Raw genomic sequence first — 21,270 nt, 5'->3', positions numbered from 1 at the left:
GGGGAGGAAACAGGAAGCTTGCTTCTGACTAAGAGGATGGCCCAGAGCACTCCAGGTAAACACAGCGTCTGTCCTCATACATCCCGAGTCCAGTGAGAATACTAGCTAACACTTCAAAGAGTTTCCTACATGCTTGGCACTATTCTAAGCACGTCCATACATAATTTCATCTTACCCTCACGAGAAACTGAGTTTTTCTGTCTCCATTTTACAGATGAGGAACTTGAAACACAGTTGCTTGTCCACAGCCAACTATTTGTTCAAGGTGGCCAGTGAGTACTGCGGGTCCCACTAAACGAAAGAAAATTCACCAACTGGCTGAGGGATGTTCAGACAAACAGAATGGGTCGGTGATGAGAAGATGCTGGGAAAGGCAGGACTCCCAGGGTTGAGAGCAAGAAAGACCCACGGTGCTTGCACACCTGGGGCTGCCTCCCTCCTTCCATCCCAAGAGCTGAGGAGGGGCCTCCCTCCTGTCTAGAGCTCATCCTTCCACCGTGCTCCAGCCACATGCCCTCTGTTTTTTTTTTGTTGTTGTTGTTGTTTGTTTGTTTTGTTTTGTTTTTTTGAGACAGAGTCTCGCTCTGTCACCCAGGCTGGAGTGCAGTGGAGCAATCTCAGCTCACTGCAACTTCTGCCTTCCGGTTTCTCCTGCCTCAGCCTCCCGAGTAGCTGGGATTACGGGCATCCGCCACCATGCCCGGCTAATTTTTGTATTTTTAGTAGAGATGGGGTTTCACCATGTTGGCTAGGCTGGTCTCAAACTCCTGACATGATCTGCCTGCCTCGGCCTCCCAAAGTGCTGGGATTACAGGCCTGAGCCACCGTGCCCGGCTGATCTTTGGCAGAGCCTTCACATCACAGATTCCTGGGCCCCTTTTTCTCTGTCCTCATCATCTCCCTTGACTGGTTCTTTCCTAGCAATCGATGAACAGTTCTCCTACTTTTTAACAGCCCTTCCCCTCAACCTCATATACCCTATATCTCCTCAAACTAATTTCATCTGTTCCCTGACTCCAAATCTCAGTTAATGACATCACCATCCATTGGGATGCCTGAGCCGGAAATGTAGGCATCATTCTCGATTCCTTCCTCCCAACACTTTCTCATCTGATTCATCTCTAGTCTTGTAGATGTTACCCTATAAACACCTCTCCCCTTTTCTCAACTGTCTCCACCTTCAGCCACCATCCTTCTATCCGGGGTCAGCCCAGTGCTGTCTGGACCACTCTCTCCTCTTGCAGGTTTGCCAGCCTCCCCTACCTCCCATTCATGGGTTCTCTGCACAGCACCCAGAGACAACTTCACAAAGACAAAGCCACCTCTGCCACTCTCCTGCTTCACACCCTGCAGTGCCTCTGCCTTGCTCCCAAAAGCTTTTAGCGACATAATTCTGCTCACCTCTCCAGCCTCATTTCCCCCTCCCCCCAGGAACCCTCTTCCCTGCCACCACGCAGCTGAGCCAGTCCTTCTTACCCTTCTGCCATCGATTTGGATGCCACCTGGCCTAGGACATCTCTTTCAACCTATCCTATACATGTAGACCCAGTGCTTCCCCTAGTAGCATTTATCTCACTATATATATATATATATATATATATATATTTTTTTTTTTTTTTTTTTTTTTTTTTGAGACGGAGTCTGGCTCTGTTGCCCAGGCTGGAGTGCAGTGGCGCAATCTCGGTTCACTGCAAGCTCCGCCTCCCGGGTTCACGCCATTCTCCTGCCTCAGCCTCCCGAGTAGCTGGGACTACAGGTGCCTGCCACTACACCTGGCTAATTTTTTTGTATTTTTAGTAGAGATGGGGTTTCGCCATGTTAGCCAGGATGGTCTCGATCTCCTGACCTCGTGATCCACCCTCCTCGGCCTCCCAAAGTGCTGGGATTACAGGCGTAAGCCACCGCGCCCGGCCTATCTCACCATATTATAGTTGTTGACTTGTCTAATTTTTTTTAATTAACCGAGCTGTTTATTATTTTAACCAACAAAAGCTCTACAAGTGCTAGATTTAGTCCTGCACAAGATGACTTTACTAATAAAGGGAGGATGCCCAAAGAGATTTACCATATAGCTAAGGAAAAAGAATCTCACACAGAGGACATACTGAAGAGATAATGAGCTAGAGAAACAGAACTGGAATGTTTCATTTCTTTTATAATATACAGAGAATACAGAGGGGAGGAAAAAGGGAATACACTTTTAACTAAAAGAGTTGACAATTTTATTTTCACATTTCCCAATACAAATGAAAACTGCATCTTTTTTGTCCCACTTCTCCCCTCCAAAACTATTCTCTTTGATAGGAGAGGGGAGCAAGACTTCCTTATGCTGTTTAGAAAACCCAGCATCACAGCAGCATGATCTCCTGGTGAAGCAGAACAGGTAATATAAAACCGACATAATGAGCCCTCTCCTTTATCCTTATCTGTCTGGTCAAGTCTTTCTGGGCCGAGTGGGCACCATCATGGGACAGGCAGGAGGTCTTATCACTGGGGACCCAGGCATCATTGGCCTGTGGCCTCCCATAAGCGGCCTCATTCCAGGAGCAGGTCCCCCTGGCATCATCCCAGGAGGAGGAGGGCCCATCATTGGCATCATGGCAGGACCCCTCATATGGGGTGCTGGCATCATACCAGGGTGAGGAGGACCTGGAAGACTAGGGGGAGGTGGTATCATTGCTCCTACAGGAGGAGGAGCAGAGAATGGAGCAGGAGGTATCTTTCCTTGTTGAAATGCAGCCGTTGTTTTGTCAATCAGGCTCTGAGCCTGCTCTTTCATCCATTTCTGATAGTAGTCTTTCACATTCTCTTTGTGTTTCCTACCACTGCAGTGTGTCTTTCTCACAGGAGGAGAGTCATGGGTGAGGTATGTATTGCAGTAGTCACAATAAAACTTGGGCATGTTGCTCTGCAGGCCATTGGCCACTCCATTCCGTGACACCCAGAAATGAATGACTTGTCTAATTTTACTAAAGCAAAGCTCTAGCTCCTTGAGGATGGGGACTGTTTAAAGTTTGTCTTAATTATCTGTATGTATTCTTTTCACTGTATCTGGCATTCGATAAAACCTTAGTAACTATAAGTTGAATGAATGAATGACCCAGCAAGACCATGAGGAGTGACCAGAAGCTCATCAGAAGGATTTGAGTTTCAGAATACAAAATGTTTTCCTCATTAAGGGGCCAGGCTGGCAGCAGAGGTGGACTGAAAGTGTGCAGAGGGAGCCCCCAAGAGCTGACTCATGCTTGCTGAACACCAGTGCTGTGCTAGCCTCTGTTGCTGTGAATTATTTTTTCTTACACCTCATAGGAATCCTTTAAGGTAGATTCTGTTTTTGCTTCCACTTTAAAGACAAGAAAACTGAGGCCCAGAGAAGTTAAATAATTTGCTGCAAGTCACATAGTGGCAATGCTAAGATTCAGATATTGTCTATGCACCTTTCTCTAGGCTACAATAAGTCTGTAGTATTCATTTGCAGGTTCTTTGATAAGACTCACCTGGAATCTTTAGGAAGCTGCCTATGACTTCATATGCAGAGAAAAACCCAGCAAACAGCTTGGAAGAAGAGCAAATTTCCCACGAGACTTGGGACTGTCATGCTAGAAGTTTGGGTATTTTTGCTTAGTATTTAGATAAATTCAGATTCGGTAATTGTGAAATTTGAGAGCTGGAAGGTATCTTAGAAATCTTTGAGTCCAGTTCCTTGAACACCTGAAGGGGCCAGTGACTTGCTGAAGGCCACTCAGCTACTGGTGGAGGCAGAATTAAAACACTGGGTCTCTCTCTCTCTCTGACCTTCCTGTAGAGCTATGCATGTTTCACCTTTTTGGTGCTTGATTTTGCTTATTGGAGTCTCTTGGTAAAACATCTCTCTTAAGACTTCAAACTGGGTGGGACGCTGTAGCTCACACCTGTAATCCTGGTGCTTTGGGAGGCGGAGGTGGGAGGACTGCTTGAGGCCAGGAGTGCAAGACCAGCCGAGGCAACATAGTGAGACCCCTGTCTCTACAAAAAATTTAAAAATTAACCAGCTGTGGTGGCATGCACCTGTGGTCCCAGCTACTCAGAGGCTGAGAGAGGAGGATTGCTTGAGCCCAGGAGGTCAAGGCTGCAGTGAGCTATAATTGTGCCACTGCACCCCAGCCTGGGTGACAGAGTGAGACCCTGTCTCTAAAAAACAAAACAAAGTAAAACCTTCAAACTGCACATTGCTTTGTCAGAGAAAGAATTTCAACTTTGCTGAATGGCCAGATGTGGTACAACAGTGGGCCTGGACCTGCTGGGACCAGGAAGTTTAGGGGAGCCAGAGAGCTCAGGGTGAGTTGGGGGGTTGAGATGATGAGGGAAGCCCAAGAAGAAACACGCTGGAAGTGGGGCCTTCCTTTCACAAACATCAGGAGAAAACATATGGGGATTTCAGAAAGTTTTCTTGAATGCATACCAGATACTAGGAACTGGAGAAATTGCCCTCAAATGCTTACAATCCAGAAAGGCAGTAGATGTGAGTACAGTCATGAGATGGGATGAAAATATAAAGGGAGCCTTGATCTCCTGGGCTCAAGCAATCCTCCTCTCTCAGCCTCTGAGTAGCTGGGACCTCAGACAAGATGAGGGCATGAAGGATTTTGCCTGGGAAAGTCAAGGAATTTTTCCTGAAGGAAATGGACTCCTGAGTTGGGTCTTGGAGGAAAAATAGAAGGAAGAGAAAGTAGGCCATTTTTTTTTTTTTTTTTTTTTTTTTTGAGACAGGGTCTTGCTCTGTTGCACAGGCTGGAGTGCAGTGGTGTGATCCTCCCACCTCAGCCTCCTCAGCAGCTGGGACCACAGGTGTGCACCATCATGTCTGGCTAATTTTTTGATTTTTATTAGAGATGAGGTCTCACTGTTGCCTAGACTGGTCTCAATCTCTTGGGCTTAACTGATCCTTGCACATCAGCATTCCAAAGTGCTGGGCTTAGAAGCATGAGCCACAGCCCATAGCCAGAAGTAGACGATTTTATACAGAGGGAGGAACAAGGGCAAAGTTGGAAGGGCTGGCAGGGCATGATGTAAATCATAGCAGTGGTTATCAAAGTGTGGTACCTGGAACAACAGCATCTGCATGACCTGGGAAAGTGTAAAAACTGGAATTGCTGGGGATGGGTTTTGCACTGTGTTTCATAAGTTCTCTCAGTGACTCTGATGAGCCTTAAAGGTTGAGTCCCAAGCTTGGCACAGTAGCTCATGCCTGTAATCCCAGCACTTTGGGAAGCTGAGGCGGGAGAATTGCTTGAGCTCAGGAGTTCAAGACCAGCCTGGGTAACATAGAGAAATCTCATCTCTACAAAAAATACAAAAAATTAGCTGGGCATGGTGGTGCACACCTGTAGTCCCAGCTACTTGGGAGGCTGAGAGGGTGAGAAGATTACTTGAATCCAGGAGGTTGAGGCTGCAGTGAGCCATTGTACTCCAGCCTGGGTGACAGAATGAGACCCTGTCTCAAAAAAAGAAAAGTGAGGTTGATTTCCACTGAATCTGATAATTCCTAATGGGAGCCTCCCTGCTCCCATGGTAGGACTTTGGGATGGCAGGGACAGGTGTGGACAGAGCATGGGGCCTATACTCTGTTTCCCTCCTTAAATGCCTCGTGGCTCCTGTGGCTCTCTGACTCAGTCAAGTGTTATACACTGAACTGTGTGCATTCGGACATAAGCTTCTTCTCTCATCTGTGAGGTCCTAGACAGTAGGGTTTCCCCATGATCCTCAGAGCTGACCACACCAGCACTAAGAGTTCCAGAAGCCTCATCATGTCTACCACGCACACAGCCCTATAAGGGGTCTCTTCTTGGCCTCTCCACCTCCTTTCTGTCCTTTATGACCTCAATGTCACTCTCTCAACCAACCTGTGGTTGAAAATCGACATACAAGGCCCTGCTCCCGGCACTGTCTATACCTCTACCTGGCTTTTTCTCCATCACATGAATCAACATTGAGCCTATGTTTTACTCTTCATTTTTTTCTTTCTTTTCTTTTCTTTTTTCTTTTTTTTTTTGAGACAGAGTCTCACTCTGTCACCCAGGCTGGAGTGCAGTGGCCAATCTCGGCTCACTGCAACCTCTGCCTCCTGAGTCCAAGCAATTCTCCTGCCTCGGCCTCTGGAGTAGCTAAGATTATGGGCACTCACCACCACATCTGGCTAACTTTTGTATTTTTAGTAGAGATGGGGTTTTGCCGTGTTGGCCAGGCTGGTCTTGAACTCCTGACCTCAGGTGATCCGTCTGCCTCGGCCTCCTGAAGTGCTGGGATTACAGGCATGAGCCACTGCACCTGGCCGATTTTATTTCTTGTCAGCCATCCCAGCCCCCAGGAGAATGTGAGGCAAAGACTTGTGTTGTTTCTATTTCACCATTGTATTCTCCACGCCAGGACAGAGTGTGACATACGTGAGGTGCCCTATTTGTCAGATGAATGAATGGTTTATATCATGTGACTCTGCATGTGTGGCTTCAGGTAAATTAATTGATTAAGCCAGGAATTAGCGCCCTTACTCCAAGGCAGCTTCCCACTGGTTGGCCCATGTCCTGTGAGGGTGTCTGGCGTGAGAGCTCTGTCATGGTGACAGGTGGAACCCATAAACCCTACTGGTAGGGAGTTTGTGAGACCTTGAGAGGGAAGACCATGAGTAGGATGGGATTGAAGAAAGGGGCCACAGAGAAAAAGCCACAGAAGCTGCGGCACAGAGGCGGATAGCAGAGACTTTAGTCAGCAGGGACAGAAGCAATGGAAGCAGAGATAGAAAAATGATGAGTCATCCTAATGACAGAGAACTCCAGCCTGATAATCCCAGAGAATGACTCAGAAACCGGTTGAGATGCAAGGGCTGCTGCAGGGCTACTAGAGCTGCTCTTACATCTCAAACGATGTCCTGCATGTCAACAAAGCCCGGCCTGGTGGCTGGTTTGCTCGCTCTTACTTCTCTGCATATCCTAAAAGCAGCTTGCCATTAACCAAGATAGACTGAGGGGCCTCTGGCCCCTTCAACAAAGTCCCTGACAGCATGAGCCCGAGGACCAGCGTGGCCCTTGCCTGGCAGGGGCTCCCAGGGACTGGGCTGTGCTGGCCCTCACCTCCCGTGGGGAAGGCACCTGCACAGGGGTGGAAGTTATCAGGTCAGGCTAGGGCAGATGGCCTTGCTCATTCCAGGAAGCAGTGCTCAGCTGAGCAGTTTCCCTTCAAAGCGTGGCAGTGGTCATGGGAAATCTATGCAATCCCACTTTCAACGTACCCTTTCTCTTTAATGCTGTGCAGAGAAAAGGTCAGAGTGAGGCCTTGTTGCTAAGCCAAGTCAGCAAAAAAAATCCCATGTTTGCCATTCCAGCGTGGCCCTGGAGAGGCTCCTTTGAGGCTGCTGGGGTGAGGTGGGGGAGTCAGAAGGTGGAGTGTGTGCAGAGAGAGGAACATTGCCCCTGTCCTCCCTGCTCTGGGACCTGTTTGTTACTTGGTCTACCACAGGGCCTGGCCCCCTTCCTACCTGCCTGCCAGTCATTTACTGTCCTGAGTCATTTCCCAAGAACATACTTGGAAAGCTTCCCACCTGTCCAGATACAATTTTTCAATATGCTAGTTGTGCTATTATATGTACGTTTTTTTTTTATATTTTATATTTATAAATGTATATTTTTTCTTCATTTGTTTGTTTCATTTTGTTTTTTGAAATAGAGTCTTGCTCTATTGTCCAGGCTGGAGGGCAGTGGCACAAATCAGGGCTCACTGCATTCTCAGCCTCTTGGGCTCAAGCTATCCTCCCACCTTAACCTCTCAAGTAGCTGGGACCACAGGCGCATGTCACCATGCCCAACTAATTTTTTTATTTTTATTATTTTACAGATGGGGTCTCACTATGTTGTTCAGGCTGGTCTCAAACTCCTGGGCTCAAGTAATCCTCCTGTGTTGGCCTCCCAATGTGCTGGGATGACAGGTGTCAGTCACCACACCCTGCCACACATATTGGTTTTCATACACAGTTCCTGGCTCATAACTCCCACAGCCCTTATTACAGTAAAAAGAATATCTCTCTCTCTGGTCTTTCCCTGCCTTCCTTTGACCTCCCCATGGCAGGACCCTAATCTGATTGTGGGTCATGAGACCCTTATTCCAGAGAGGGTCCTGCCCCGTACCCTAGAGGTAGAAATGCTGTACAGAGAGGCCAGGAAGAATCTGAACAGACAGAACAGGACTTGCTGGGTTTAGATCATACCTTTTTTTTTTTTTTTGAGACGGAGTTTCACTCTGCCACCAGGTTGAGTGCAGTGGCATGATCTCAGCTCACTGTAACCTCCGCCTCCTGGGTTCAAGCGATTCTTCTGCCTCAGCCTCCCAAGTAGCTGGGACTACAGGTGTGCACCACCACACACAGCTAATTTTTGTATTTTTAGTACAGACGGGGTTTCACCATGTTGGCCAGGATGGTCTCAATCTCTTGACCTCATGATCTGCCAGCCTCGGCCTCTCAAAGTGCTGGGATTACAGGCGTGAGCCACTGCGCCCGACCAGATCATACCCTTTTTGTCCAATCACATTTGAACCAGGTTATCCATACTTCAATCATGCCTATCCAATGAAGTCTCCATAAATGGCCCAGAAGACAGGGTTCAAGAACTTGGCCCAGAAGACAGGGTTCAAGAACTTCTGGATAAGGCTGGGCATAGTGGCTCACATCTGTAATCCTAGCACTTTGGGAGGCCAAGGAGGGCAGATCACCTGAGGTCAGGAGTTTGAGACCAGCCTGGCCAACATGGTGAAACCTCTTCTCTAATAAAAATACAAAAGTTAGCCAGGTATGGTAGCATACACCTGTAATCCCAGCTACTTGGGAGGCTGAGGCACGAGAATCTCTTGAACCCAGGAGGCGCAGGTTGCAGAGGGCCAAGATCATGCCACTGCACTCCAGCCTGGGTGACAGAGCCAGACTGTCTCAAAAGAAAAAAGAAAAAAAAAAAAGGCCAAGTGTAGTGGCTCACTCCTTTAATCCCAGCACTTTGGGAGGCTGAGGTGGGAGGATCACCTGAGGCTGGGAGTTCGAGACCAGCCTGACCAACATGGAAAAACCCTGTCTCTACTAAAAATACAAAATTAGCTGGGCATGTTGGCAAGTGCCTATAATCCCAGCTAGTCAGGAGGCTGAGGCAGGAGGAATTGCTTGAACTTGGGAGGCGGAGGTTGCAGTGAGCCGAGATCGTGCTATTGCACTTTAGCCTGGGAAATAAGAGCGAAACTCCGTCTCAGAACAAAACAAAACAAAGCAAAACAAAACAAAACAAAACAAAAACCTTCTGGGTAGCCAAACATGTGGAGGTTTCCGGGAGGGTGAACGGTTAAGAAGAACTCATGCAAGGGCCAGGAGAGTGGCCCATCCCAATACCATGAGGACAGAAGTGCCTGCACTCAGACCTTACCCTATGTTTCTCTTCATCTAGTTGTTTATTTGTATCTATTAAAATATCCTTAGGAATAATCTAGTAAATATAAGTAATTGTTTCCTTGAGTTCTGTGAGCTACTCTAGCAAATAAATCGCATCCAAAGACTGGTTTGTTGGAATCCCAACTTGAAGCTGGTCAGTCAGAGGTTCTGGATGCCTGGACTTGTCACTTGTGTCTGAAGAGGGAGTTGAATTTTTGGCACTGAGCCCTTGGTCTGTGGGATCTGATGCTATCTCCAGGTAGACAGTGTCAGAATTGAATTGGAGGGCACCCAGCTGGTGTCTGCTGCGGTATCGATTGCTTGCTTGTGGTGGGGAGAATCCCCCGCATTTCTTTCTTTCTTTCTTTCTTTTTTTTTTTTTTTTTTTTGAGATAGAGTTTCGCTCTTGTTGCCCAGGCTGGAGTGCAATGGTGCGATCTTGGCTCACTGCAACCTCCGCCTCTCGGGTTCAAGCGATTCTCCTGCCTCAGCCTCCTGAGTAGCTGGGATTATAGGTGCGCACCACCATGCCTGGCTAATTTTTTGTATTTTTAGTAGAGACGGGGTTTCACCATGGCCAGGCTGGTCTTGAATTCCTGACCTCAGGTGATCCACCCACCTAAGCCTCCCAGAGTGCTGGGATTACAGGCATGAGACACCGCGCCCAGCCACTCCCCCACATTTCATCACAGAAGTTTTCTGTGTTTATTGTTGTGTGGCGTGACAGCAGAGGAAAACATTTTGTTTTTCCTACCACTAGTGCAATTCCAAAACATCTTACTTTGGTTCTGCCCAACATTGAGATTGTTGGGGGTCATTCATTCTTCTCAAATAAAAAATATTATGCCCAGATAGCATGATAACAAAAGCTCACTCATTCCATAAATGTTTATTAAGTTTCATTAAGTGTCAGGAGCTAGACCAGATATTGAGGAAACAGCAATGACAAGAGAGAAATTCCTGCTTTTATTGAGCCTCAGTCAACAGGAAAGACGGATATTAAACAAACAATTATAAACAGGAGGAATATTTTGAAAGAGGAAGTACAAGGTGTAATAGCAAGGGGCTTATAACAGAGGAAGCTGGATGCAGTGTGGGAGTCTGAGAAAACTTCCTTGAGGAGCAGACATTTCAGCTAGGCCTAGAGGATGTAGAGGGGGTATTCCAGACAGAAAACACCACAGGTCTGTGGGTCTAAAAGAGAAATAGAGAGAGCAAGAGCAAGAGAGATGTTTGAAGAAAATAGAAGTCCTGGCTGGGCGTGGTGGCTCATGCCTATAATCCCAACACTTTGGGAGGCTGAGGTGGGCGGATCACAAGGTCAGGAGTTCGAGACCATCCTGACCAACATGGTGAAACCCCGTCTCTACTAAAAATGCAAAAATTAGCCAGGTGTGGTGGTGGATGCCTGTAATCACAGTCACTCAGGAGGCTGAGGCAGGAGAATCGCTTGAACCTGGGAGGTGGAGGTTGCAGTGAGCCGAGATCACGCCACTGCACTCCAGCCTGGGAATGGAGCAAGACTCTGTCTCAAAAAAAAAAAAAAAAAAAAAAAAAAAAAGAAAACAAAATAGAAGTCCTGAATGGCTGAACTGTAGAGAGTGAGGTGGAATCAGTGAGAGACATCAAATACAATTTGAGGGGAAATAGAAGAGTCTTTGCTCTTCACATCCTCCAAAATTTGGCATTTGATAGACAAATGACCTTCTCTCCTCCAACTCTACATGACAAATGTTTTTACCAGTTTAGAAACAGATAGACAAACCACCTACCGTGGTCTGAATGTCTTCCATGTTCATGGTGCATCCAGAGAAAAGTTGGCCATGCAGACTGTCACACTGGCTAAGCTCATTGGTACAGAGAAGACACCTGACCCAGAAAAAGCCAATCTGTAGGCTGGTCAGTGACTTGCGAAAACAGCTTGCTACAAAAGCTTTGTGAAACAGAGGCAGCTTAGACTACAAACCAATTAAGAATGTCTCTCTTGGAGCATTTGAATACAAAGCATCAAAGCCAGTTAGTCAACAGCAGCAGTAACAGGAGAAACAGAGGCTGAGTCACCAAGACAATGTAATGGTGAAACCCTTAAGTAGGAAATCCCCAAAACCTGTGACTGAAGGTCTTCAGGTCCCTAAAGCACAGTTCCATTGCCATGAGACCTGGCTGTCCCTGGATTCCCCTAAGACCTGGCTGTGGGGTTGAGGGTCTTATCTTCCTATTTCCACACATGTCCCTACGGAAATCCTCATTCACCTCTGGATCATGCTTCATAAAGTGGTGTTTGGGTCCTATCAGCGTTCTTCATTGCTGACCGGGGCAAGTCAGTGTTAGGGCCATCTGGAGATGGGGCCTTGATGTTTTCATGAATAATGGCTCTGTACCCTCTGATAACATTCAGTACCAAGTGGAGGGAGAAAGGAAATTAATCTTGCTGAGTACCCACTATGCGCAGGCAAGATATCAATTGTCCTTATAACTATCCTAAGAGATGCAATTGACCTCATTTGACAGCCAGTAGAAGACAGAATCAAGACCCAAACCCAGGTCTTTCTCCCATCTTCCAGATTATTTTTGCTACATTGTGTTGCCTCCTTCGTTCATTTAAATATATATTTATGGGCCAGGTGTGGTGGCTAAAGCCTGTAATCCCAGCACTTTGGGTCAAGGCAGGAGGATCACTTAAAGCCAGGAGTTTGAGACTAGCCTGGGCAACATAACAAGACCCCATCTCTACAAAAATACACACACACACACACACACACGCACACACACTGCTCTCAAGGGGTTCTACCTTATTTACATCTTCACTGAAAACTGCAGAATTGCTTGACAAATTGCTTTGTTTTAGGAACTTTGTATCCTAACTCTTACAGAAGGCAATTATGAACAATCAAGTAAGAAAGAAGACATTTTCATTTAGATTCAGTAGCCTCACAAAGAAACTGGAAGTCTGCTAACATATTTTGTTTTTGTATAAACATGTTTTAATTATCTACATTTGTTATATTATGAAGTTCTATTAGCTTTAATAATTCATAAATATAATTGAAATGGGTAATTCAGAAATACGGTTGAAATTTACCTCAAAACCATTCACTTTAAAATGAAAAGCAATGTATTTTAGTTAACTCTGTAGAATGTGGTGTGAACATTACCTAGTGGTGACCGGTTGGGTAACCCAGAAATAGGGTTGAAATATACCTCAAAACCATTCACTTTAAAATGAAAAGTGATGTATTTTAGTTAACTCTTCAGAATGTGCTGTGAACATTACCTAGTGGTGACTGGATGCGTCTAACCATGGTCTACCCTTCCCTCTTGGAATTAGCAAATGAAAATCCCTGGATTAGATCTGGGTGTGGTTAATATGTTCACAGTAAGCACAAGAGATGAAGTGGATGTGGGAATTTAAAGCTCAAGATATAGAAACAGTGGTTCTCCATCACCCCTAGAGCATGTTAAAACAAAAATCAAAAAACCAACATACAAACAAAACCCTCTACCATTGTCCAGCTTCAAAAATCATTTTAGTAGGGTGGTGGCTTTTGTTTTAAAGGGAATGAAAAATGTATATTTTAGTCACATATTAAAATTACTACTAGCTGGGCGTGGTGGTGCATGCCTGTAGTTCTAGCTACTCAGGACGCTGAGGCAGGAGGATCGCTTGAGCTCAGGGGTTTGAGGTTACAGTGAGCTATGATTGCACCACTGTTCTCCAGCCTGGGTAACAGAGTAAGACCCTGTCTTAAGAAAGAAAAGAAAAGAGAAAAGAAAATAAAAGAAAGAGAGGAAGGGAGGGAAAGAGGGAAGCAAGGAAGGAAGGAAGGAAGGAAGGGGGAGGGAGGGAGGGAGGGATACTAATATCCTTTCTCCCTCCACCTGGTACTGAATGTTATTAGAGCCATTATTCATTCAAAACATCAAGGCCACATTTCCAGACAGCCATGACACTGATTTCCCCCTCTCGGCAATGAGGAAGGCTATAGGTCCCAAACACCACTTTATGGAACTGGATCCAGAGGTGAATGAGGTTTTCTGTAGGGACACAGAAAATAAAATTGCTGTAAGAAATTTTAAAAAGCATTTATTTATATGAGCAAAAAGAAAGAGGAACATTATTTTCACATACCCATCCAGGGTGCAGACGTGAGAGTGTCTCAGTGGGAATAGTGAAAACTTGTTTTATGCAAAAATTTTTAATCAAACACAATTACTGCCAACTAACCAAAAGTGGCTTTCAGCCTCATTGACTAAAATGATTGTTTGATATTCAGCTATCATGTCCACATTCCAGGCAGCCTGACCTTTCTGGAAGTTATACATGACACTTCTATTTACATCCCCTTTGCTAGAACTTAGGCACATGGCTACTTCTGTCTGTGGCTATGTGGCTAGAAATAGGAAGTCTATTACTAAAAAAGAAGAAAACAGATACAGGGGCCACTAGCAATGGCAGTTAGTGTCCTCAGGGGTTGGATGATATAAATATTCAGGAGGAAATGCTTTTTAAAATTAAACTATAATAATGATAATGACTTTCCCAAAAAGGTCAAGTGACTCTCATTTATTACTCTAGGGCATAACATTGCCATTGGTCAGAGTGGAGAATAATTTCCCAAAGAGAAGCAATGCTTAGCAGGAGACAGAGAGGAATGGATTTTCAGAACAGAGTAGGGGCTCAGGTCTGACTGGCTGCTGTCGATGGTCAGACAGAAGAAACTTTGCCTTCTCTGCAGCAGTGGTTCCTAGCACCAGCAGCTCAGGTCACCTGTTTCTTTTATCTTGGAATCAGGACAAATCATGAGTTTTGATGACTTGAAACTTGAACTCTGGATATTTAAAGGAGCCTTCAGTGTTTTTAAACCAAATGATCACATTAGGTTAAGAAAATTACTGAATTTGCTGTACATCAACCTTGGGGGTAAGCTAGAGCTATGTATTTTATATGATAGATTTGATTCCATTAAAAATAAGACAATTGGTCAGAAATAAAATTACACCTTAAGTTGTTAGTGAAAAGGGGCTTTTAAATGAATCTTACTTTTCCCCAGATTAAACTATAATTTGAAAATGGATTCATTCATTTTATTTGCCCATTCACTAGGTCAAGCATTGATTGGGTATCTCTGAGTACTTGATGGGTGTACAGAGATGACCTAAAAAGGCTTGATTCTTGGCCAGGCGTGGTGGCTCACGCCTATAATCCCAGCACTTTGGGAGGCCCAGGGGGGTGAATCACCTGAGGTCAGGAGTTCAAAACCAGCCTGGCCAACATGGCGAAACCCCGTCTGTACTAAAAATACAAAAATTAGCCAGGCATGGCGGCGGGTGCCTGTAGTCCCAGCTACTCAGGAGGCTGAGGCACAAGAATCGCTTGAACCTGGGAGGCAGAGGTTGCAGTGAGCCGAGATCACACCACTGCACTCCAGCCTGGATGACAGAGCAAGACCCTGTCTCAAAAAAAAATAAACAACAGTTTGATTCTTTTATTTTCAATTATTACTTTTTTTTCTTTTTTAATAGAGATGAGGTCTCACTATGTTGCCCAGGCTGGTGTTGAACTCCTGGGCTCCAACAATCCTCCTGCCTCAACTTCCCAAAGTGCTGAAATTAGAGGCACACCAACCTGGCAGCTTGATTCTTTTGAAATCAATTTTTATTGATTTGCAGTTGTCCGTGGTTTCTAGTGACACTATAAGTTTCTTGGCTTTTTATTCAGCTGTGAAGGCAGTGTAATGGAAAGAACATTGAGTTAGTCTGGGGTGTTTTCCAAGACCAACCACCAATTCTCTGTGAACATTAAATGAATATCCTAAAATTCAATTCAATTCTGACAATAACTACTGTCAACTGAGAATGACAAGGCCTATACATGTGGAAAGGAGAGTTTTCTTTCTCATAAAGCGTTGCAGCCTGCAGAGTGACAGGCTGGGAAGTGTAGGTGCTGGCCAGAAGCCAGAAACAGATGCGTCAAGGGAGTGGCAAAGGGCACATGAATTTATACCGAGCGGGCTGGCCGAATATGCATATTCAATAAGCTGTAGCAGGAGTTGTGAATATTTATGAAAGGAGAAACATGAGCTTCATGCCCCTTCGTGTGTCCCGTGTACAAAAACGGTGGTGATAGCATGATCTGAGGGTAGAGTTTTCAGCCCTCTGACCCCAAAAGATGAAGCAGAGAGCACAGAAACCCCTACTGCACATTCTTTGTAGACTGGCCAGAACCGCTCCGTGGTCAGTGGCCTCTTATCATGGGGGGGCAGCCTCACATGGTTGGTTGATACGAGAGCCTTTTGAAAGGGCTGGTTTCTGTTAAGCCCTTAGGAAAGAAAGCCTTATCATGCTTAGCTAGGGAGAGGGCATAATAAGGTGTGTCCAACCTCCTATCCCACCATGACACAGAACTCAATTTTCAAGGTTACTATGGGGTCTCTTTAACCAAGAGAGGGTCTGTTTAGTCCGTTGGGCAGTTTAGGATTTTATTTTTATTTCTTGCTGCCCAAAGCTATTACTAGCATAGACACCACAGGTTAAGGACTCAGTCCCACAAGGCTCCTCCCACTTCACATCAGTTACAAGTCTCAGGTTCCGGCACTTCTGGCTGTCCTTGCTACAAATCAAGAGCTACTGTAACCGCCCCCCGCCACCCCCCACCCGATTCGATAATTTGAAATAATGGCTCACAGAACTCAGGGATACCTTATTTATGTTGATCAGTTTGTTATAAAGGCTGCAACTCAGGAAGTCAAATGGAAGAGATGCATAGGGCGAGGTATGGGGATCAGGGAAAGCCCTCTCCAGACACACCACCCTCCTAGCACCTCAATGTATTCACCAACCCAGAAGAGCATCAACTCTCATTGCTCAAGAGTTGTTTGTTTTTCTCCTTGAGACGGAGTCTTACTCTGTTGCCCAGGCTGGAGTGCAGTGGCACTATCTTGGCTCACTGCAACCGCCACCTCCCGGGTTCAAGCAATTCTCCTGCCTCAGCCTCCTGAGTAGCTGGGATTACAGGCGAGCGCCACCACGCCCCACTAATTTTTTGTATTTTTAGTAGAGATGGGTTTCATGAGCGTCCGTGTGAAGAGACCACCAAACAGGCTTTGTGTGAGCAACATGGCTGTTTATTTCACCTGGGTGCAGGCGGGCTGAGTCCAAAAAGAGTCAGCGAAGGGAGATAAGGGTGGGGCCGTTTTATAGGATTTGGGCAGGTAAAGGAAAATTATAGTCAAAGGGGGTTTGTTCTCTGGCAGGCAGGAGTGGGGGTCGCAAGGTGCTCAGTGGGGGTGTTTTTTGAGCCAGGATGAGCCAGGAAAAGGACTTTCACAAGGTAATGTCATCACGTAAGGCAAGGACCGGCCATTTACACTTTTGTGGTGGAATGTCATCAGTTAAGGCGGGACAGGGCATATTCACTTCTTTTGTGATTCTTCAGTTACTTCAGGCCATCTGGGCGTATACGTGCAAGTCACAGGGGACGTGATGGCTTGGCTTGGGCTCAGAGGCCTGACATTCCTGCCTTCTTATATTAATAAGAAAAATAAAACAAAATAGTGTTGAAGTGTTGGGGTGGCGAAAATTTTTGGGGGGTGATATGGAGAGAGAATGGGCGATGTTTCTCAGGGCTGCTTCAAGCGGGGTTAGGGGCAGTGTGGGAACCTAGAGTGGGAGAGATTAAGCTGAAGGGAGGTCTTATGGTAAGGGGTGATTTTGTGGGGATGTTAGAAGAAACATTTGTCATATAGAATGATTGGTGATGGCCTGGATATGGTTTTGGATGAATTGAGAAACTAAATGGAATAACAGAAGGAGAAAAACAGGTATAAAAGGTCTAAGAATTGGGACGACTCAGGATATCTGATTAGAGAGTGCCTAAGGAGATTCAGCATAGTCCTGCCAGCAAAGATTATTTATTTACTTCAAGAGTTAAGAGTGGCAGTTTGGGGATAGCACCAGGAGATATCAGCTGTGATGGCTTGGAAAAACAGTGTAAACCGGCAGTGTAAACAAGAGCAGGGCATGTATGAGTAGTTGAGAACGGTGAATAGGAGTATGACTAGACAGAAGATAGTAGGGATGACAAGTTTTCGGGGGCACAGTCTAAGTTGGTCTGGTGTCTGGAATGAGACTGGGGCCTAATAAAAACGAGCGTCTACACAGGAGCTCAAATGGGCTGTACCCTGTAGCATTCCGAGGACAGGCCTGAATTCTGAGAAGGGAAAGTGGTAACAGTATTGTCCGGTCCTTTTTGGTGGCTGAGCTTGGTGAGGTGTGTTTTTAAAAGACCTTTAGTCCATTCTACTTTTCTTGAAGATGGAGGACCGTAAGGGATATAAAGGTTTCACTGAATACTAAGAGCCTGAAAAACTGCTTAGCTGATTTGACTAATAAAGGCTCATCTGTTTTCAGACTGTATTGAGGTGGGAAGGCTAAACTGAGGAATTATGTCCGACAGAACAGAAGAAATGACTGTGGTGGCCTTCTCAGACCCTGTAGGAAAGGCCTCTACCTATCCAGTGAAAGTATCTACCTAGACTAAGAGGTATTTTAGTTATCTGACTCAGGGCATGTTGAGTAAAGCTAATTTGCCAGTCCTGGATGGGGCAAATCCTCGAGCTTGATGGGTAGGGAAGGGAGGGGACCTGAATAATCCCTGAGGAGTAGTAGAATAGCAGATGGAACACTGAGAAGTTATTTCCTTGAGGATAGATTTCCACGATGGAAAGGAAATGAGAGGTTCTAAGAGGCGGGCTAGTGGCTTGTACTATAGTATAACCTGCCTTTGCTGGTGTGTGGCGATTAGGCCTGGTGGACCATCAATAAATCAAGCGTGATCAGGGTGAGGAACAGGAAAGAAGGAAATATGGGGAAATGGGGTGAATATCAGGTGGATCAGAGAGATACAGTCATGGGGGTCAGGTGTGGTATCAGGAATAATGTGGGAGGCCAGATTGAAGTCCGGGCCAGGAACAATGGTAATTGTGAGTACAGCTGAAGGAGCCGGGGAGCAGAAAGTATATGCGTCAGGTATGAGGAAGAAAATAGATTTTGGAAGTTATGAGAACTGTAGAGAGTGAGTTGAGCATAGATTGTGATTTTGAGGGCCTCTGAAAGTATTAATGCAGTGGCAGCCGCTACACGCAGACATGAGGGCTAGGCTAAAACAGTAAGGTCAAGTTGTTTGGACAGAAAGGCTACAGGGTGTGGTCCTGGCTCTTGTGTAAGAATTCTGACCACACTAACCATGCCTAGGAAGGAAAGGAGTTGTTTTGTAGAAGGTGCTGGGGTTTGAGAGATCAGTGGGACACGATTGGCAGAGAGAGCACGTGTGTTTTTATGAGAATTATGCCGAGATAGGTAACAGATGAGGAAGAAATTTGGGCTTGATTGAAGTAATGGGGGCTGTCTGTGAAGCTTTGCGGCAGTACAGCCTAGGTAATTTGCTGAGCTTGATGGGTGTCAGGGTCAGTCCAAGTGAAAGCGAAGAGAGGCTGGGATTAAGGGTGCAAAGGAATAGTAAAGAAAGCATGTTTGAGATCCAGAACAGAATAATGGGTTGTAGAGGCAGGTATTGAGGATAGGAGAGTATATGGGTTTGGCACCACGGGGTGGATAGGCAAAACAATTTGGTTGATAAGGCGCAGATCCTGAACTAACTTGTAAGGCTTGTCTGGTTTTAGGACAGGTAAAATGGGGGAATTGTAAGGAGAGTTTATAGGCTTTAAAAGGCCATGCTGTAGCAGGCGAGTGATAACAGTCTTTAATCTTTTTAAAGCGTGCTGCGGGATGGGATATCGGTGTTGAGTGGGGTAAGGGTGATTAGGTTTTAATGAGATGGTAAGGGGTGCATGATCGGTTGCCAAGGAGGGAGTAGAGGTATCTTATACTTGTGGGTTAAGGTGGGGGGATACAAGAGGAGGACGCAAAGGAGGCTTTGGATTGGGAAGAAGGGCGGCAATGAGATATAGCTGTAGTCCAGGAATAGTCAGGGAAGCAGATAATTTAGTTAAAGTGTCTCAGCCTAATAAGGGAACTGGGCAGGTGGGGATAACTAAAAAGGAGTGCTTAAAAGAGTATTTTCTAAGTTGGCACCAGAGTTGGGGAGTTTTAAGAGGTTTAGAAGCCTGGCCGTCAATACCCACAACAGTTATGGAGGCAAGGGAAACAGGCCCTTGAAAAGAAGGTAATGTGGAGTGGGTAGCCTCCATATTGATTAAGAAGGGGACGGGCTTACCTTCCACTGTGAGACTTACCTGAAGCTCGGCGTCCGTGATGGTCTACGGGGCTTCCGAGGCGATCGGGCAGTGTCAGTCTTCAGCCGATAAGCCGAGAAGATCTGGGAAGGAGTCAGTCAGAGAACCTTGGGCCAGAGTTCCAGGGGCTCTGGGAGTGGCTGCCAGGTGAGTTGAACAGTCCGATTTTCAGTGGGGTCCCGCACAGATGGGTCACGGCTTAGGAGGAATCCCGGGCTGCGGGCATTCCTTGGCTTGGTGGCCAGATTTCCGGCACGTGTAGCAAGCTCCTGGGGGAGGAGGTTCTGGAGGAATGCCTGGCCGCTGCGATTCAGGCGTTTGGAAGTTCTTGTGTGCTGGAGATGTGGCTGGGGTTTGTCTCACAGTGGAGGTAAGGAATTGCAACTTTTTTTTTTATTATTGTACACCTTGAAGGTGAGGTTAATTAAGTCCTGTTGTGGGGTTTGAGGGCCAGATTCTAATTTTTGGAGTTTTATTTAATGTCGGGAGCAGATTGGGTAATAAAATGTATATTGAGAATAAGACGGCCTTTTGACCTTTTAGGGTCTAGGGCTGTAAAGCGTCTCAGGGTTGCTGCCAAACGAGTCATGAACTGGGCTGGGTTTTTATATTTGATGAAAAAGAGCCTAAACGCTATCTGATTTGTGATAAAGAAAAAGGAGCATTAACCTTGACTATGCCTTTAGCTCCAGCCACCTTTTTAAGAGTAAATTGCTGGGCAGGTGGGGGAGGGCTAGTCACGGAACGAAACTGTAAGCCGGACCAGGTGTGAGGAGGGGAGGCGATAAAAAGATTATAGGGTGAAGGAGCGGAGGCTGAGGAAGAATTGGGACCTAGCTTGGCCTGGCGAGGAGCGGCCTGGGGAGGAAGGGAGACATCAGATGAGTCTGTAGAAAAGGAAGATTAGAAAGACTCAGCGATGCTTGGGGTTGGTACTGAGGGGACAGGTGGGAGGGAAAGAAGGAAGATTTGGGACGAGTTGCACTGGGCACAGAGACTAGGAAGGGACTGATGTGTAAAAGAATGCCTGGACGTCAGGCACCTAAGACCGTTTGCCTGTTTTACAAGAATTACTTAGATTTTGCAGGATGGAAAAATTCAAAGTGCCATTTTCTGGCTATTTGGAACTACTGTCGAGTTTGTATTGGGGTCAAGTGGCATTGCAGAAGAAAATAAGGTATTTAGGTTTTAGGTCAGATGTGAGTTGAAGAGGTTTTAAGTTTTTGAGAACACAGGCCAAGGGAGTAGAAGGAGGAATGGAGGGTGGAAGGTTGCCCATAGTGAAGGAAGCAAGCCGAGAGAAAAGAGTAGAGAAACGGAGGGAAGGAGTTCGGGGGTTCTTACCTTCCAGAAAAGTGGGAAAAGGGGTTGGGGCGCAGAGATAAGAGGTCGGGGCACGGAAATAAGGGATTGGGGTGCAGAGATATAAGAGGTTGGGGTGCGGAAATAAAGGATTGGGGCGCAGAGATAGGTTGGGGCACGGAAATAAGGGATTGGGGCACAGGGATAAGAGGTCGAGGCGTGGAAATAAGGGATTGGGGCGCAGAGATACAAGAGGTTGGGGCGCGGAAATAAGGG

General features: G+C 46.1%; 1 pseudogene, besides 4 other annotated features; it reads right to left on the bottom strand.

Moving 5' to 3' along the window:
* On the bottom strand, positions 2,136-2,939 carry SNRPCP2 (small nuclear ribonucleoprotein polypeptide C pseudogene 2; annotated as a pseudogene).
* Positions 6,507-7,170: a transcriptional cis regulatory region, noted in NCBI's record as "candidate enhancer chr5.1827 targeted for multiplex CRISPR interference". NCBI's record gives its function as "positively regulates IQGAP2 gene expression with high confidence in K562 cells {active_cell/tissue: K562}" and the evidence as "EXISTENCE:mutant phenotype evidence [ECO:0000015][PMID:30612741]".
* Positions 6,507-7,713: a biological region, named in NCBI's record as "Sharpr-MPRA regulatory region 10118". NCBI's record gives its function as "regulatory_interactions: IQGAP2".
* Positions 6,679-6,973: an enhancer, noted in NCBI's record as "tiled region #10118; K562 Activating DNase unmatched - State 1:Tss, and HepG2 Activating DNase matched - State 5:Enh". NCBI's record gives its function as "activates a minimal TATA promoter and a strong SV40 promoter by Sharpr-MPRA in K562 cells, with weaker activation in HepG2 cells {active_cell/tissue: HepG2 | K562}" and the evidence as "EXISTENCE:reporter gene assay evidence [ECO:0000049][PMID:27701403]".
* Positions 6,920-7,713: an enhancer, noted in NCBI's record as "NANOG-H3K27ac-H3K4me1 hESC enhancer chr5:75667689-75668482 (GRCh37/hg19 assembly coordinates)". NCBI's record gives its function as "activates a minimal SCP1, AML or CMV promoter by ChIP-STARR-seq in primed H9 embryonic stem cells {active_cell/tissue: H9 hESC(primed)}" and the evidence as "EXISTENCE:reporter gene assay evidence [ECO:0000049][PMID:30033119]".

Source organism: Homo sapiens, chromosome 5 (assembly GCF_000001405.40).
Source record: "Homo sapiens chromosome 5, GRCh38.p14 Primary Assembly".
Taxonomy (NCBI): domain Eukaryota; kingdom Metazoa; phylum Chordata; class Mammalia; order Primates; family Hominidae; genus Homo; species Homo sapiens.
This window is presented reverse-complemented; position numbering and strand designations above follow the sequence as displayed.